This window comes from Homo sapiens, chromosome 3 (assembly GCF_000001405.40).
Source record: "Homo sapiens chromosome 3, GRCh38.p14 Primary Assembly".
NCBI lineage: Eukaryota > Metazoa > Chordata > Mammalia > Primates > Hominidae > Homo > Homo sapiens.
The window spans coordinates 124,980,669-124,996,972 of NC_000003.12; the positions used below are offsets into that span (position 1 = coordinate 124,980,669).

At 46.2% G+C, this 16,304-nt stretch overlaps 1 protein-coding gene across 1 annotated transcript in view, besides 1 other annotated feature; it reads right to left on the bottom strand.

Moving 5' to 3' along the window:
* The window catches only part of HEG1 (heart development protein with EGF like domains 1), a 90,288-nt gene that overhangs the window by 14,959 nt on the left and 59,025 nt on the right, over window positions 1-16,304 (bottom strand). Inside the window, exons 13-14 of the mRNA NM_020733.2 lie at window positions 10,276-10,318; window positions 10,119-10,156 (exon numbers count right to left, since the gene is read on the bottom strand). Of these exons, the coding sequence (NP_065784.1) occupies window positions 10,119-10,156; window positions 10,276-10,318 (81 nt within the window). The remainder of the gene's footprint in view (window positions 1-10,118; window positions 10,157-10,275; window positions 10,319-16,304) is intronic.
* Window positions 14,737-15,031: a silencer, noted in NCBI's record as "tiled region #13474; HepG2 Repressive non-DNase unmatched - State 14:Gen5', and K562 Repressive DNase matched - State 24:Quies". NCBI's record gives its function as "represses a minimal TATA promoter and a strong SV40 promoter by Sharpr-MPRA in HepG2 and K562 cells {active_cell/tissue: HepG2 | K562}" and the evidence as "EXISTENCE:reporter gene assay evidence [ECO:0000049][PMID:27701403]".

Consider the following 16,304-nt stretch of genomic DNA (forward strand, 5'->3'; position numbering starts at 1 on the left):
ACCATGCCCAGCTAATTTTTTGGCATTTTTAGTAGAGACGGGGTTTCGCTATGTTGGCCAGGCTGGTCTCAAACTCTTGGCCTCCAGTGATCCGCTCACCTCGGCCTCCCACGGTGCTGGGATTACAGGTGTGAGCCACAGCGCCTGGCCTGAGGACCAGTTTTTGCTTGCTTGTTTGTGCTTCTGGATATCCTTTTTTTTTTTTGAGACAGGTCTCACTATGTTGCCCACACTGGAGTGCAGTGGCAAAATCACAGTTCACTACAGCCTTCAACTCCTGGGCTCAAGCAATCCTTCTGCCTCAGCCTGCCAAGCAGCTGGGACCACGGGCGCAACTAAGTTTTGGTTTTTGTAGGGACAGGGTATCACTATGTTGTCCAGGCTGGTCTTGAACTCCTGGCCCCAAGTGGTCCTCTCACCCTGGCCTCCCAAAGTGCTGGGATTACAGGTGTGAGCCACTGCGCCCAACCTGGATATTCTTTTTAAATAAAGAAAATAAAGTCGCATGTGCTCCTCCCCTCATCTGTCCCCACAGGCACCAACTATCATAAATTTCACTTTTTCCTTTTTTTTTTTTTTAAAGTTTTTTTTTTTAAAGTCACAGTCAACTCGACTGTGGACTGATATATTTGTGAAATATAATAAAACTCTTTTCCAAGGCTCCCATGCTTGGATGTCACAGTTATGTCAAGTTAATATAAACATTTCTAAGTGCTCACTCTCAACTTCTGTGTTATCTTGCCATGGTCCAGTAACAGTTCACACGGCAGACCACAAGTTGTGTAGCACTGGCATAGACGAGGGCTTCTCAAACTCCCGTCTGCGTCTCAGTCACCCACAAGCCTTGTTAAAACCCAGATTCCTGGTCCCTGCTCCAAGAAATTTGGTTCAGTCATACTGGGCAGGGGCTCAGAACCTCACTTCTAGAGGCTTCTACGGGATGGTGCTGCTGCCAGCCAATGGACCAGACCGTGGGTAGCACTGGTTTAGATTACACAGGAGAGGAAAGAGCACTGGGCTGAAAGCCAGGAGACCACCCAGCACTCAAGCAGAGAGAAAGAGCCTGGGAGGAACTCACCAAAATGTTTGCACAAGTTAGCACTGCCTCGGGTAATGGTGGATAATTTGCTTTCTTCTTTGTGCTTTTCTGTATTTCCCAAATTTTATTTACATATTTACATATGCACACACACACACACACCCCTCCCTGAAATCTTGACATTGTGTATATATACACATACATATTTTTTTTTTTTCTTTTTGAGACGGAGTCGCCCAGGCTGGAGTGCAGTGGCACGATCTTGGCTCACTGCAACCTCTGCCTCCCGGGTTCAAGCGATTCTCCTTCCTCAGCCAGCTGAGTAGCTGGGATTATAGGAATGAACCACCATGCTCAGCTAATTTTTGTATTTTTAGAGAGATGGAGTTTCACCATGTTGGCCAGGCTGGTCTCAAACTCCTGACCTCATGATCCGCCTGCCTCGGCCTCCCAAAGTGCTGGGATTACAGGCGTGAGCCACTACGCCCAGTCATATACATATTTTTTAAAGAGTACATTTGAAGTTCTTTGGCAGCCATGTCACTGTAACCTTGTAATATCCCCCAGAGATCTTCTTAAAATCATTCTACAACTGATCTTTTGGGGTTAAGTACTGATTTTAGATTTATGATGACGTAGAAGTGCATGGATTTGAATAAGTGCCAACTGAAGTGTTTCCTAGCTTTAGAGGTGCTCTGAATATTTAGGTGAGACAGAGGCAGTGAATGTCATCTTAGGCTTGTCCTATCCTTTTTAGTGCAAAAAGATTTCTGGAATGAAGAGCTTGGAATTCTTAGTCCTACTTTCTTCTTGGCATTTGTTGACATTTCAGTCTTTCTCAAGCAATGGCTCCATGTTTCCCTTATTCTTCACAGCTTGACATTGCTGTCATCACAGTTAGCATCTTTCATCAAACCAACAGCACATTCTGGGCCTTAGCCTTTCCCCAGAGCCATATTTGTTTATGTTTATATGCTTATTTGGATGGGATCTACTGGACTATCTGCTTAGCCACCCCCCTTCTGAAAACTGTGCACCCCCTTCCATCTGCAGCCGGGGGTGGGCACACTCGGACATGTAACACCATCCCCTGGACACAGCTGGCTGGTCCTGGAACAAACCCACCATCCAAAGTGGATCAATTAGTTACTTCCCAGGAATTTGGGAAAAGAGGGCCATCACTTTCACAATTGCTGAGCTAGAGACCTCCCCACCCCCAACCAAGAGCTGTTTGGTGACCCTATTTCCCATCATGTTGTCTGGGAAGGAGAGCCTGCATACAGATACATGGCAAAGAGTGGAGATGAGCCATGAGGATGCAGTCATGGCAACATGTGCTCTCACAGGAAGCTCCTCGCTACCCCCAGCTGCTGAGCTTCCTTCCTCCACTTCCTTGGTTCCTTCCACTCCTGATGCCAGGATTCTTCCAATAAACTCTCTTTGTCGCTTAGGCTAGCTGGGCTCACTTACTCCAGGAGAACCTTAGCCAACCTTCCTTTAAGATTCTTGAACACATTACAGAATTTTCTAGGTAGCCACATTAGTTTTTATCTTACAATGCATTCAGTTCTCTCCATATTTTTCCTCACTGAGCTCACTTGTGATTTATGGTTAGAATTTTGCCTTTTATTTTTTAATCTTTTTTTTGAGACAGGGTCTTGCTCTGTCACCCAGGCTGCAGTGTAGTGGCATGATTACATCTCACTGTAACCTCACCCCCCAGCTCAAGTGATCCTCTCACCTCAGTTTCCCAAGCAGCTGGGACACTAAGTGCATGCCACCATGCCTGGCTGATTTTTTTTTTTTTTTTAGAGATGAGGTCTCGCTATGTTGCCCAGGTTGGTCTCAAATTTCTGGGCTCAAGCAATCCTCCCGCCTCGGCCTCCTAAAGTGCTGGGATTACAGGTGTGAGCCACCGCACTCAGACAAATTTTGCCTTTAAAATCTTTCCATTCCTCCTCCATCTCTGTTCACAGCATTCTTATTTTCTCCCGCACCTTCTGAAATTCACCTTTTGCAAGTCTACAACCAGGGTGTGAACATACCCGGTGCCCACCACTCTCCACTGTGACAGTGCCCCACATGATTGTCACTTTCTCCTGATGTTTTACACAACTCTATCCCTTCCACCTCACCAAATAGTCCTCGCTAGCAGAAGGGTTGGGTACAGAACAACAGTTCCCTCTCCCCAATCCCTGCCTTACCCCGTTTGAAGTGAAGGGAGGCCAGTCAAGACCGAGTAAAATGACTGCTTTTAGCTGAATGAGACTTCCAGCTGCCTTCTGGGTAATATTAATAGATTCTCCCTCCTTCCTCCTAAGCAGTTTAGTGCTGTCTTCCCAGATGTTTGTTCTGAGTGACTTCCACCAACACACAGCATTTCCATTGGTCTAAGTCTTTTATAACCCAAGGCAACAACTGGGTGAACACAACTGAAAGACACCTTCTACACCTGCCATCAGACCGTGGGTTGGGCTGGGAAGACAGTGTAGAAAGATATTTAAGCGGAATGTCTGGCTTCACGGGAAGAGGGCTGTCAGTGGGGAAGGCAGACTCTCACTCCCTGCTGGCTACACTGGGAGGCTGTGAGGCAGGGGTCTCCTCTGAAGAGGTGCAGACCCTTTGAATGAAAGGATGACCTACAAAAGAGACGTGGCAAATATGAAAGAGGGATGGAAAAAAATGTCTGTGGCCAGAAAAAAGTAATCTAGGAGAATTATGTGAGCTCTATGATCACAAAATGACAATAACCATAAAACAGAAAAATGGGGCCAGGCACGGTGGCTCATGCCTGTAATCCCAGCGCTTTGGGAGGCTGAGGCAGGTGGATCACCTGAGTTCAGGAGTTCGATACCAGCCTGGCCAACATGATGAAAACCTGCCTCTACTAAAAATACAAAAAGTTACCCAGGTGTGGTGGTGGGGCCTGTAATTCCAGCTACTCAGGAGGCTGAGGTAGGAGAATCCCTTGAACCCGGGAGGCAGAGGTTGCAGTGAGCCAAGATCGCACTACTGCACTCCAGCCTGGGCAACAAGAGTGAAACTCCGTCTCAAAAAAAACCAAAAAACAAAAAAACAACCAAAAAACAAAACAAAAACAAACAAAAAACAGAAGAATGGCTTAGATGACAGGAATATTTTAAAAAGAGACTTTTGAAAGGCAGTAAGAGGGGAATGGTTAAGGAAGTTACAGTAGGTCCATAGAGCAGAATTTCACAGGACTATCAAACGTAACATTATAAAATTACGTAAGTGAAAACATTCCACAGTTTACTAGGTTTAAAAGCAGGTTACAGAACAGTATGTTCAGTGAGATCCAATTTCTGTTAAAAAGACATACACATATATATCTCTGGAAAAATATATAATACCAGTGTTTCTCTAACTTTAATATGCATATAAATCTGCATATTAACTAAATTTATGGGCCTGGTGAGAATTCAGATTCGGATTCAGTGGGTCTGGAGTGGGGAGCCCGAAGTTGCTCATTTCCAATAAGCTCCAAGGTGACATGGATCCTGCTGGCCTATGCCCCACACTTAGTAGTAAGGAAACATGGTGAACATAGTGTTTAATGGGTGGTGAGACTGTTTACTCTCCTCTTCCCTTAACTTCTATTTATTTTCTAATTAATTTGGGTTAAAATAGGGGAAATTAATGGGCATGTGCTATATTGTTATTTTTTAAAAAAGGAATTTATTTTAAAAATAGAAAAAAGGCTAAACAACCCAAAGTTGTTTAGCAATTATGAAACTGTGAGGAGGAACCAACGTAAACTTCCAGCAACAGAGGAAATGTGCACGCCCTAAGAAAAGGGTGGAGGCAAGGGGAGTGAGAGACACATCTGATGACACATTCCTAAAAGAATTCTGGGGCCATCTGGCAAATGGGATATTTGCTGTTGAAATTGGTGGAATCTGGGATATAAACAGAGAGATATTTTACGTGTTTAAAAAATTAAAAGGAGAGCTGTGATAAGAAAGGTGCAGGCCTGCGCTGCCCAGGAGTGGGGGCCCTGCTCCAGCAGGGGGTGAAGATTTGAGAGAAAGGTTTGTCCTGCCCTTTCCAGATATTTATTCGTTTATTTTTTGAGACAGTCTTGCTCTGTCGCCCAGGCTGGAGTGCAATAGTGCGATCTCGGCTTACTGTAGCCTCTGCCTCCCAGGTTCAAGCGATTATCCTGCCTCAGCCTCCCGCGTAGCTGGGATTACAGGCATGTGCCACCATGCCCAGCTAATTTTCGTATTTTTAGTAGAGATGAGGTTTCACCAGGTTGGCCAGTCTGGTCTCGAACTCCTGACCTCAAGTGACTCTCCTGCCTCGGCCTCCCAAAGTGCTGGGATTACAGGCGTGAGCCACTGTGCCTTGCCCTTTCCAGTTTCTCTGTAAGGAGCAAGGACTGAAATCTGGGCACAAGTAGAAAGTGCACAGAAACTTTTGAGGGGTGGGACATAGGTTATGCCTAATGCCAAAATCTACTGGAGTTGGATGATGTGTGCTTGGCTGGAAAAAGCCAGCCTCCCCAGCCTCATTGGGCTTGGGTAGAGCATGTGCCCTAAAAAGCCTGCATAGAGAAGAAGCATTTCTTGCCTACGAAAAATCCAGCCTGAGTCACAGCCCCAGGAAGGCCCCTGCTGTCTTGGGTGGCAATAATGGGAGTAATAGCGGTGGGCAGTCAGAGCCCTGCTATTTGGCACAAAACGTTGAGTGATGAGTCACAGACTCCCAATATGCTATCACCATAGAGAGGGATGAATTCCCAACTCCTTAACCAACACCCAGGTCTTGGCCCAGACCTCAGAGAAAGAGGCAGGTGGCAAGTGCTACTTATTATCAGCCACTATAATATTAACTGTCTTGCAACACTGAAACTAATAGAGATATCAAAATGATAAAGTGATATTTACATGCCATCACAGAATAACAAAAGTTACCAAACTAAAGATAGGCGGCCGGTTCTAAAAGGTGGCCAGGAGCAAACCATCCAGACAGGCCTCTGCCCTCTGCTGGACACAGTGACAGTGACTTGGACAAATGGGAAGGAAAAGGAAGTCTGAGGAATCAGAGAGAAATCTTGGCTACTTCCAGAACCCCACAAAAATAATGGAGAGGACTTGACTTTTTCCTAACATAAGAACTTACAGAATAGTCAATGACATAGGGAAACAGCATCCCCAAACATGTATAGTACTTAATAATCTCTGAGAAAAAAATTACCAGTGCCACTTAGAATAATGCCCTGCAGCTCACACCCCTTTCCTGCAGCCCTTTATAGACTCATGTTCCCTAGATGGATCACTCTTCCATTCGCTGAGAAACATGAAGCATTTTCTAATAAAACTTATTTAGGGGTCAGGTGTGGTAGCTCATGCCTGTAATCCTAACACTTTGGGAGACCAACGTGGGAGGATTGCTTGAGCCTGAGAGGTTGAGGCTACAGTGAGCCATGATCAGGCCACTGCACTCCAGCCTGGGCAATAGAGAGAGACCTCATCTCTAAAAATAAAAAATAAAAACTAGGGAGCTGTCTGACCAAAGCAGGTTTAAAGTACTAGCTCATTCTATGAGAGGCCTGTCAGGGATGAGAGGCCCCAAGAGGACTGAGCAGGTCATATCTCTTACCTCCTGCTCCCTGGCTCACCCGAGGGGCACACGTGAACAGGGTGGCCACACCTCCACACCTCTCACCTGTCTCACTGGCTCTCTCTTTCTCTGCCATCAGGTGGGATTGCATTCAGATGAGTTTCTTGCACACGTGATACAGGTCTGCTGCACTTTGAGCCTCCTGCTGCTAAGCCTCTCTGTTTCTTTTTTTCTTTTTTTTTTTTTTTTTGAGACGGAGTCTCGCTGTGTCGCCCGGGCCAGAGTGCAATGGCGCTATCCCGGCTCACTGCAAGCTCCGCCCCCCCAGGTTCACGCCATTCTGCCTCAGCCTCCTGAGTAGCTGGAACTACAGGCGCTCGCCACCATGCCCAGCTAATTTTTTGTATTTTTAGTAGAGACAGGGTTTCACCGTGTTAGCCAGGACGGTCTCAATCTCCTGACCTCGTGATCCGCCCGCCTCGGCCTCCCAAAGTGCTGAGATTACAGGCGTGAGCCACAGCGCCCGGCCAAGCCTCTCTGTTTCTAACAATATCTTAGGATCAGGTCCGCAGGCTTGTGATGTAACCTCTACTCTTAGCCTTGAAGCATCTCTTCTGAAAGACTATATATGTGTACACACACACACACACACACACACACACATATATATATATATATATATATACCATGTAGTTCTAGTATTCCAGCATTTGGGAAACAAGACTCAAATATCTTAAATTTCTGTCTGATTATTCAGCCTCCTTTTTCCACATTGAAACGTTATAGATTTTCTTATCTATTTTTGTGCACAGGCTACTCCATTCTCTGATCAGTTTACGAGCTCTCTGTGACTCTGTTCTGGTTTCAAGTGAGAAATGAGATTCACACGAAAAAGTGAACACACACCACTCTGTAGACCAGGCAGCCCCTTTAAGGCATAGATATCCTCCTAAACACAAAAGCATAAAGACCCTGAGCCCAGCTGAGAAACTGGCTTGCCTAAATACTGATCTTTAGAAAGGACATGTACTGCCATCCAGACTGTTTTACATAAGCCAAATCTCCAAAATACTCAAGCCTACCCTGTTCAGCATTGACACCTAAAAAGAATTTTGACTATTCTTTAATTTATTAAATAAAAAAGCCTAAAATATGATAACTTCCTTGCCTTATTAAACTGAGTGCACCAAACACCATTTAGAGCGTGATGACTGGGGTCCATTGGAGTGAAGGGCCGTGCTCACATGGTTCTATGGCCCCACAGTGTCCTCTGGGACTTCTAAAGAGTACAGGGTTGTTTACTACACCACTCAGGGCTGCAGGTTGCTACTTAAAAAACAAACATCGGCCGGGCACGGTGGCTCACGCCTGGAATCCCAGCACTTTGGGAGGCCGAGGTGGGCGGATTACAAGGTCAAGAGATCGGGACCATCCTGGCCAACATGGTAAAACCCCGTCTCTACTAAAAATACAAAAATTAGCTAGGTGTGGTGGTGCACACCTGTTGTCCCAGCTACTTGGGAGACTGAGGCAAGAAAATCGCTTGAACCCAGGAGGCGGAGGTTGCAGTGAGCCGAGATCGTGCCACTGAACTCCAGCCTGGCGACAGAACAAGACTCCATCTCAAAAACACAGAAAAACAAATATCAATTCTGTGAGTCCCTCCCTCTCTACTCATATGACTATAAATATAATTGCTTTTAGAATTGCCTCCCTAGTCTTTCTCTGAGGCTATCTTCTGTAACCTCTTGCTAGTCTGCAGTCAAGATAAATCAGATGACCAAAGTCATCAGTAATCCTAAATGGATATGTAATTCCAAGTCTCTAGACTCTGACCTGAGAGTAGCACCATGCTGGGTGCACCAAGAGAGTTTTATGTCAGTTTTATATTCAGCATTGAATGTGTTTGATTTTTATTTCATTATTTTTATTTTTTAGTTATGCTCAAAGAAAGTCAATAATGAAACTTGCTAATAGAAAACCTTTACGAACAAAGAAAACACCACTGAAGAAATCAGATGTAAGGTATACCACTGGGGAATAGAAACTGGGGGCTTTTTTACACACATTAAATAAAATCATGTCTACTTTCCTTCTAGTAAACTTATAAAATAGTCCACTGGCACATTTGTCTGTAGGATGAGAGCCAAAGCTGTCCTAAACTAAAATCTTCATTGTTAGTATTTCTATTACATCCTATGATATGCTATATCCCCAAATTTAATTTTGCAGATAATTTCAATTTCTAATGTATGAATATAAGAAAATGTCAGTGCAAGCAATCTTAAATGAATCACAACTGGTTTTCTCCAAGAACTGGATTAGGTGCAAAACACGCCCCGCTCACAGTCCCCACCAACACTCTTGGCTGCTTGGCGTTCCACCCTCTACTTCCACCTGGAGCAGAGAGGACTCCTAAGTGTGTCTCTAGCATGCCTGGTGGGACTATGCTGGAAATATCTAAGCTGCACCCACATTCTCCTCTGTCCAGTCTGTTCTCAATGCAGCCCAAATTGCTTTCCTTGATCAAACTGCTTTCCTGCTCTAAGACTTTTGCCAGCTGCCTGACAGTTATTGATTAGAGTCTACACTCCTCAGCCTGGTGATCCCAACCCCAACAGTTCAGACCTCATATACTTTGCCAATCCAAATCCTCTACTTTCTGCCTTCCGATCTTCCTATCTTCCAGCCACATCCACTTACACACTGTCCCCAGAACACCAAGGGCCCATGGCTGCCTGAAGACCTTTGTCTAAGTTGCTCCCTCTGCCTGGGATGTCCTCCCCCCATACCCGCCAGTCTAAATCTTTCCTACTGTTCCTCTAATTCCACTCCCTCCAAGAAGTACTGTCGAGTGTCCTCTCATTCTTCTGTGGGCACAGTCCCTGCCTCCCCGTCCCACACCCCATGTCTGGTTATCACAGTAACACTCAGCACACAGCAGGGGTATTTAGGAGTGAGTGTTTCTCTCCCTGCCCAGCCCAGACCTTGAGCCCCTGAACAGTACCAGTCAAGTCTTTCTCTTTGTTTTTTTTGTTGTTGTTTTTTGGGTTTTTTTTTTTTTTTAAAACGAAGTGTCGCTCTGTAACCCAGGCTGAAGTGCAGTGGCGTGATCTTGGCTCACTGCAACCTCCGCCTCCCAGGTTCAAGCGATTCTCTCACCTCAGCTTCCCAAGTAGCTAGGATTACAGGCATGTGCCATCACACCCAGCTAATTTTTGTATTTTTACTAGAGACGGGCTTTCACCATGTTGGCCAGAATGGTCTCTAACTCCTGGCCTCAAGTGATCCTCCTGCCTCCATCTTCCAAAGTGCTGGGATTACAGGCGTGAGCCACCACGTCTGGCCTTTCTCTTTGTTTCCCCCATGCCATTGGCATAGAACCTAAGAAGACAGCAGGTGTGAACTGAGGGAAGTGGGAGGAGACTGACACCTGTGCACTAACAACAGGGCCAGGCCCCTGCCCACGCATAATGGTCCACTTTTGTACACTTACGGTTTCCACAGTTGAGACCACCAAGGCCAAATGGGCAACTGCAAGCCAAGAAAGAAAAAAGGGCAAGAATTAGTTTCCAATCTCAAAAGAAATAAGTGAGGCAATTTATCTAAATAAGATTTGTAACAAAATTAGACTAAATCAACATGGAGCCTACCTCATGCAGGTTTCATTTTCAAGCCTATATCCATCTTCACATGCTGAAAGACAAAAGGAAAATGCATGAGTGTGTCTATTTACCTCTCCCAAACTCCCAGTTAATTAAACGCCAGCCACCCTAAAGTCCACAAGATTATTCTAGTACCAGAAGGCTGCAAACTGCTTTGGAATGATCCTCACTTAAATACTGTTGCCGGCACAACTCTTTTTTTTTTTTTTTCTGAGATAGAGTCTCGCTCTGTCACCCAGGCTGGAGTGCAGTGGTGCCATCTTGGCTCACTGCAACCTCCACCTCCTGGGTTCAAGTGATTCTCCAGCCTCAGCCTCCCAAGTAGCTGGGATTACAGGCATGTGCCACCATGCCCAGCAAATTTTTATATTTTTAGTAGAGATGGGGTTTCACCCTGTTGCTCAGGCTTGTCTCGAACTCCTGAGTTCAAAGTGATCTGCCCGCCTCTGCCTCCCAAAGTGCTGGGATTACAGGCATGATTCGCCATGCCTAGCCTCAAATCTTAACCTTATCAAAAAACTTTTCTTAACCTCTTTGTGGCTCTCAATCTCCCAGCTATAAAAAGTATTTTATTGGAGGTGATTAAGTGAAATAAGGCAATCCAATGGCTTAGTACAGGTCTGGTACATAGTAACCACTAAATCAGGGTTTTGTAGTTGTAATTATTATTACTTTTTGAGATGAGTAGCTTTGTTGCCCAGGCTAGAGTGCAGTGGCACTATCTTGGCTCACTGCAACCTCGACCTCCCAGGTTCAAACGATTCTCCGGCCTCAGCCTCCCAAGTAGCTGGGATTACAGGGGCCCGCCACAAAGCCTGGCTAATTTTTGTATTTTTAGTAGAGATGAGGTTTCACCATGTTGGCCAGGCTGCTCAAACTCCTGACCTCAGATGATCCGCCCTCCTCGGCCTCCCAAAGTACTAGGATTAAAGGCGTGAACCACCATGTCAGGCATGTAGTTGTAATTATTATATGACCAATGCAATTCATTTAGAAGTTCTCTATAGATGAAGAATGTCCCCTGGGGAAACTCCTTCCATCACAAAGACATATGGCTCCCCTTCTTTAATGTAAATCAAACCTTTAACCTGATAATGGCCCTGCTGACACCCTTCCATGAGAAGGGGGGGAGCTGTAGGTGACATCTTCTGGGGCACAGTCCTGGTGTGTACCCAGGTTTTCGTAACAGAATGCTCACCCTAGAGTCTGTGTAGGGGATTTCGGACATATCTAGATGTGTGCTAATCGGCACCTTGCCCAAGAACAGAACTTTGAACCCTCGGGTGGTGCAGCTCATGGAACGCTACTTCACTGAAGCAGTTGCAGCCTGGCCATTTCCCTGGATCAGCAGTTCCTGAATTTATGTGATCACAGAACATTTTCAACACAACAATAAGATGACAGAACACCATGAGCTATAATGCATGCTTGAATGAAAGCAATGAAAAATGGCCTCACAGACAAATTCTCTGCTGCAAGGAATGATAAAAATGTGATACAGGGTTAATGTACGAGATACATTGCATAAAAGATCCCGAATAAGAAAAGGTACAGAGTGTAGAGCTGCAATACTTGATGGGATGGCAGACGTGCTAATGGTGGGTTATGGGGGCCAGTAGCATGCATGGCTGGGGGTGAGGAGGGGCAGGGGGCTGGCGAGTGATGCCCTGTGGGCTGGGTCCAGCGTCCTTGTGTGTGATAACTTTCCTCATGACGATGTGTTGAATCTTCTTCCTCCTACTTTCTTAATGTTAGCAGCTGAATGCCTCTGGCATGTGCTTTATTGTTACAGACTTTCTATTAACATATCACTAGAGTGTTGTGGAATACAGTTTCAAAAACACTGTTCTAAATCATCTGTAATGTGTCTCACAGCAGATATTAGAGAGCTGTGCACCTGGACAGCACTGTTTTGACCCCACAGTATCACTTTTCCTGAGCTACATTCTCTTGTATTAAGGGCTTTTTGTTATAAGCGGCAGCCATGGGAAAGTCCCTGTGGTATTTATTTGGGGATGTCATGGACTGCTTTGCTACAATACCACTCAGTAACCTCTTGACGAGGATGCCCCAGAGAAATTGCTCTTGGCCCCATTGTTTTAAAACACAGGGATGCTCCTGAACAGCTGCTCTTTATTTTAGGGACCCTGACTCTTTTCAAAGTCATGTTTCCCTTTTTGCCTCAGTGTCCGGGAACCTCAGCACTTAAGTGAGGGGCCTTCTTTTAGCAAGCGTGCAGGACCCTGCTGTGTCTCATTCTGCATATTCACTTTCCTTCTGGCCTCAACAAAACAGTCCGTTAATTTCCCCTTTAACCTGATTTACCTTTTACATATTTTTAAATCTTATATTATCAAATCAGTTTTCACTAGGTGCTTTCACTTTATGCCACAGGTAGAGCATAATTGCATCCTGTTTAGGGAAGGAGTAACGAGGCCCCATCTCCCAATCTTTGATACCTGAGTTCTCTGCTGGCCTCACTCAGGTGGGGCCTTCTCTAAGGAGGCAGCTGAGTGCTCCTGCCTCTCCCATGTCTGGTGGCCCTCCTCCTGTGTATGCCTCTGCTTCATACTGCAGCAGGACGTGGGAGTGGGGGAAGCTACCCTGGATGATCCATGGATGGCTAACGCTGCGGGGCAGCCACCGGAAATTGCTTGCTTCTTCAGTGACTCCTCCCCACCCATCTCGGCACTGAGGCAGGCTGATGTCACACCAGCCTTTTCTATTTTGAACACTTCTTCCTGGAAATGTTTTTACATCCAATCTCCCCACCCAACATTAGACTTCATCTGCTGGGTGGAAGTGCTCCACTCCATGGCTGTCATCCAGGCAGATGTAAGGTCCATCTGTTGTCCTGCCCGCGAGCTGATGGGTTGGGCTGTTTTCATTTTGTATCAGAAGTGACCTGGCTCCCTGATGTCATGATATTTCTCTATTTCAAATGGGCTCATTCCGTTACGCATCAGTGGTTGAGTGCTACTGTGCCGTGGCGCTGTTCTGGGGAAACCTTGTCAGTGAGGTGCTCCTGTGCTCCTTAGGACCCAGCTTCTCATCTCACTCACCCTAGAGCAGCAGTCCCCACGTTTTTGGCACCAGTGACTGGTTTCATGGAAGACATTTTTTCCATGGACCAGCAAGGGGGTGGTCTTGGGAAGATGGTCTCGGAATGAAGCTGTTCCACCTCAGATCATCAGGCATTAGATTCTCCTAAGGACCACGTAACCTAGATCCCTCACATGTGCAGTTCACAACAGGGTCCACACTCCTATGAGAATCTAATGCTGCCGCTGATGTGACAGGAGGCGGAACTCAGCTGTGCAGCCCAGTTCCTAACTGCACCTCCTGCTGTGCAGCCCGGTTCCTAACAGACCACAAACTGGTAGGGTTGGGGACCCCTGCCCCAGAGGTATTCTGACCACAGAGCACTGAAGATGAAATGAATTTGGCAACAGCTAGTATATATTCCCAAACTGGGCTTCCCCTATTGCCATAAGACACAAGTGAATTCAAGTCTTCTGGACTTAAAAATAGAAATAAGTAGATGGTGGCATCTTTTTTTTTTTTTTTGGAGACGGAGTCTTGCTCTGTCACCCAGGCTGGAGTGCAGTGGCGGGATCTCAGCTCACTGCAACCTCCGCCTCCTGGGTTCAAGCGATTCTTCTGCCTCAGCCTCCTGAGTAGCTGGGACTACAGGCATGCACCACCACGCCCAGCTAATTTTTGTATTTTTAGTACAGACAGGGTTTCACCATATTGGCCAGGCTGGCCTCGAACTCCTGACCTCATGATCCTCCCGCCTCAGCCTCCCAAAGTGCTGGGATTATAGGCGTGAGCCACTGTGCCCAGCTGACAGTGGCATCTTAAAAACTCTTTTGTTCCCTTGCAGGAAATTATATCTAGCCATGTCAATCTTTTCCCATCTTATTTGCTGCCTTATCATCCACTCGTTCATTCAACAGACATTTGCTGAACCCTGCACTGCTCAGGACATGGTTCTAGCACTCAAGGGAATGGCAGTCGGATTAAAGAAAGAGACATGCAAACAGGTTGTGAGAATTCATTGCCAGGTGTGGTGGCTCATGCCTGTAATCCTAGCACTTTGGGAGGCCGAAGTGGGTGGATTGCTTGAGCCTAGGTGTTTGAGACCAGACTCGGCAACATGGCAAAAGCCCATCTCTACAAAGAATACAAAAATTAGCTGGACATAGTGGCAAGGACCTGTAGTCCCAGCTACTTGGGAGGCTGAGGTGGGAGGATCACTTGAGCCCAGGAGGTCAAGGCTGCAGTGAGACTTGATTGCGCCACTGCACTCCAGCCTGAGTGACAGAGCAAGGCTTTGTCTCTAAAAAGAAAAAAAAAAAAGAATTAATCATGATGCCTGCATGATGGAAGGAAGCTAAGAAACCTATGAGAGGGATATCTACTTTGATTTTATGTGTAGCTTTGAAAGTCTGGCAAAGACATTTTCTGTGAGACACCAAGCACGTTGTGTGTGCATGTGTGTGTGTGCACGCACACGCTGCAGAGAACATAGAGACTTGCTAATGTATAGCTTGAACTGCAGTGATTTAGAAAACACACACTCCTCTATCCTCTATTTATATTGAGCCTTGATTTGAGGTGTCAGTGCTCCAGCACTGATGGCCAGAAGATGTCACTGCTAACCCATCAGAACCCAGCCTAAAGGGCTGTGGCCCAAGAAGCCCGGAATCCACTCCTCAGAGGCCTGATGGTGCAAATACTGCTGAGAAAGGGCTTCACGGGGTCTCAGCAACAAGCCCAAAAGTGAATCAAGGTTTCCTTATGCTGCTTCTTGGGTCCTCACTTGGTCAACATAAGGTTGCTGGTGCCTGTGTCAGCACACTCGGTAAATCTTTCACAGCTATTGTTAATGCTAGCCTGTAACTGAAACAATTACAAAATTGCTGACTTGGAAACAGAGGAAGTGGCGCAGGCCAGCCAGAAGCAAAGGTGATAGGGCCATTGTTGAGACACTGTTCACAGGGAACACCACAGCACCATGCCCATACCTCTGCCCACCTTGTGTCATCCCCTGTCAGCAGCACAGCGCCCCAACACACATGGATGTTAGCCCAGTCCCCTTCCCATGTGAAGATGGGCTCAACTCCTCATTTGTTTTCTTTTTTTTTTTTGAGACAGATGTTGCCCAGGCTGCAGTGGTGCAATGGTGTGATTTCGGCTCACTGCAACCTCCACTCCCCGGGTTCAAGCGATTCTCCTGCCTCAGCTTCCCGAGTAGCTGGGATTACAGGCATGCGTCATCACACCCAGCTAATTTTGTATTTTTAGTAGAGACGGGGTTTCTCTGTGTTGGTCAGGCTGGTCTCCAACTCCCGATCTCAGGTGATCTGCCCGCCTCGGCCTCCCAAAGTGCTGAAATTATAGGCGTGAGTCACCACGCCCGGCTCAACTCCCCATTTCTAAGAGGTGCAAGGAACACTTTGCATTAAAGCAGATAAGATGGCATGAGGAAGCATCATCTCTTTGTAGCAATGTGGCAGTCTGGCACGGCACTGAGACATGCTGTGTCCTAGTCACACATCAGGACCTAGGCCCAACACAGAGAGTTGGCCCTCCCCTTCAAAACCCATCACAGGTCCCACCTGGAGAGCTGATGATGCGCACTTGAGAAGAACTTTGTATCCAAACCTAACAAAGTCAGAGGGTCTGAAGCTCAGGATAAGAGTGCTGCCCTGAAATATATTTTTATCTGTGATGAACAAGTCCTCTCATGGGAAGTCCTGATGGAGAAAAGTGGCATGTCGCCTCGCCCCAGTATGTGATTTTTATTCAGATTCCAGTAACATCCATTGACATCTGTCACCAGCAAGGTGTTGACTGAGTAGGAAAACTGGCCATCCATGATGGCCTTTATATCGTTAGTTTTTCTGGTGATTGCAAGTTGCAGCAGCCTTTTATAAGTCAGGGTGCGTGGTGCTCTTGGACCTGAATTAATTTTATTTTAAAGCAGTATTCTTGGACTACATTCTTTGAGC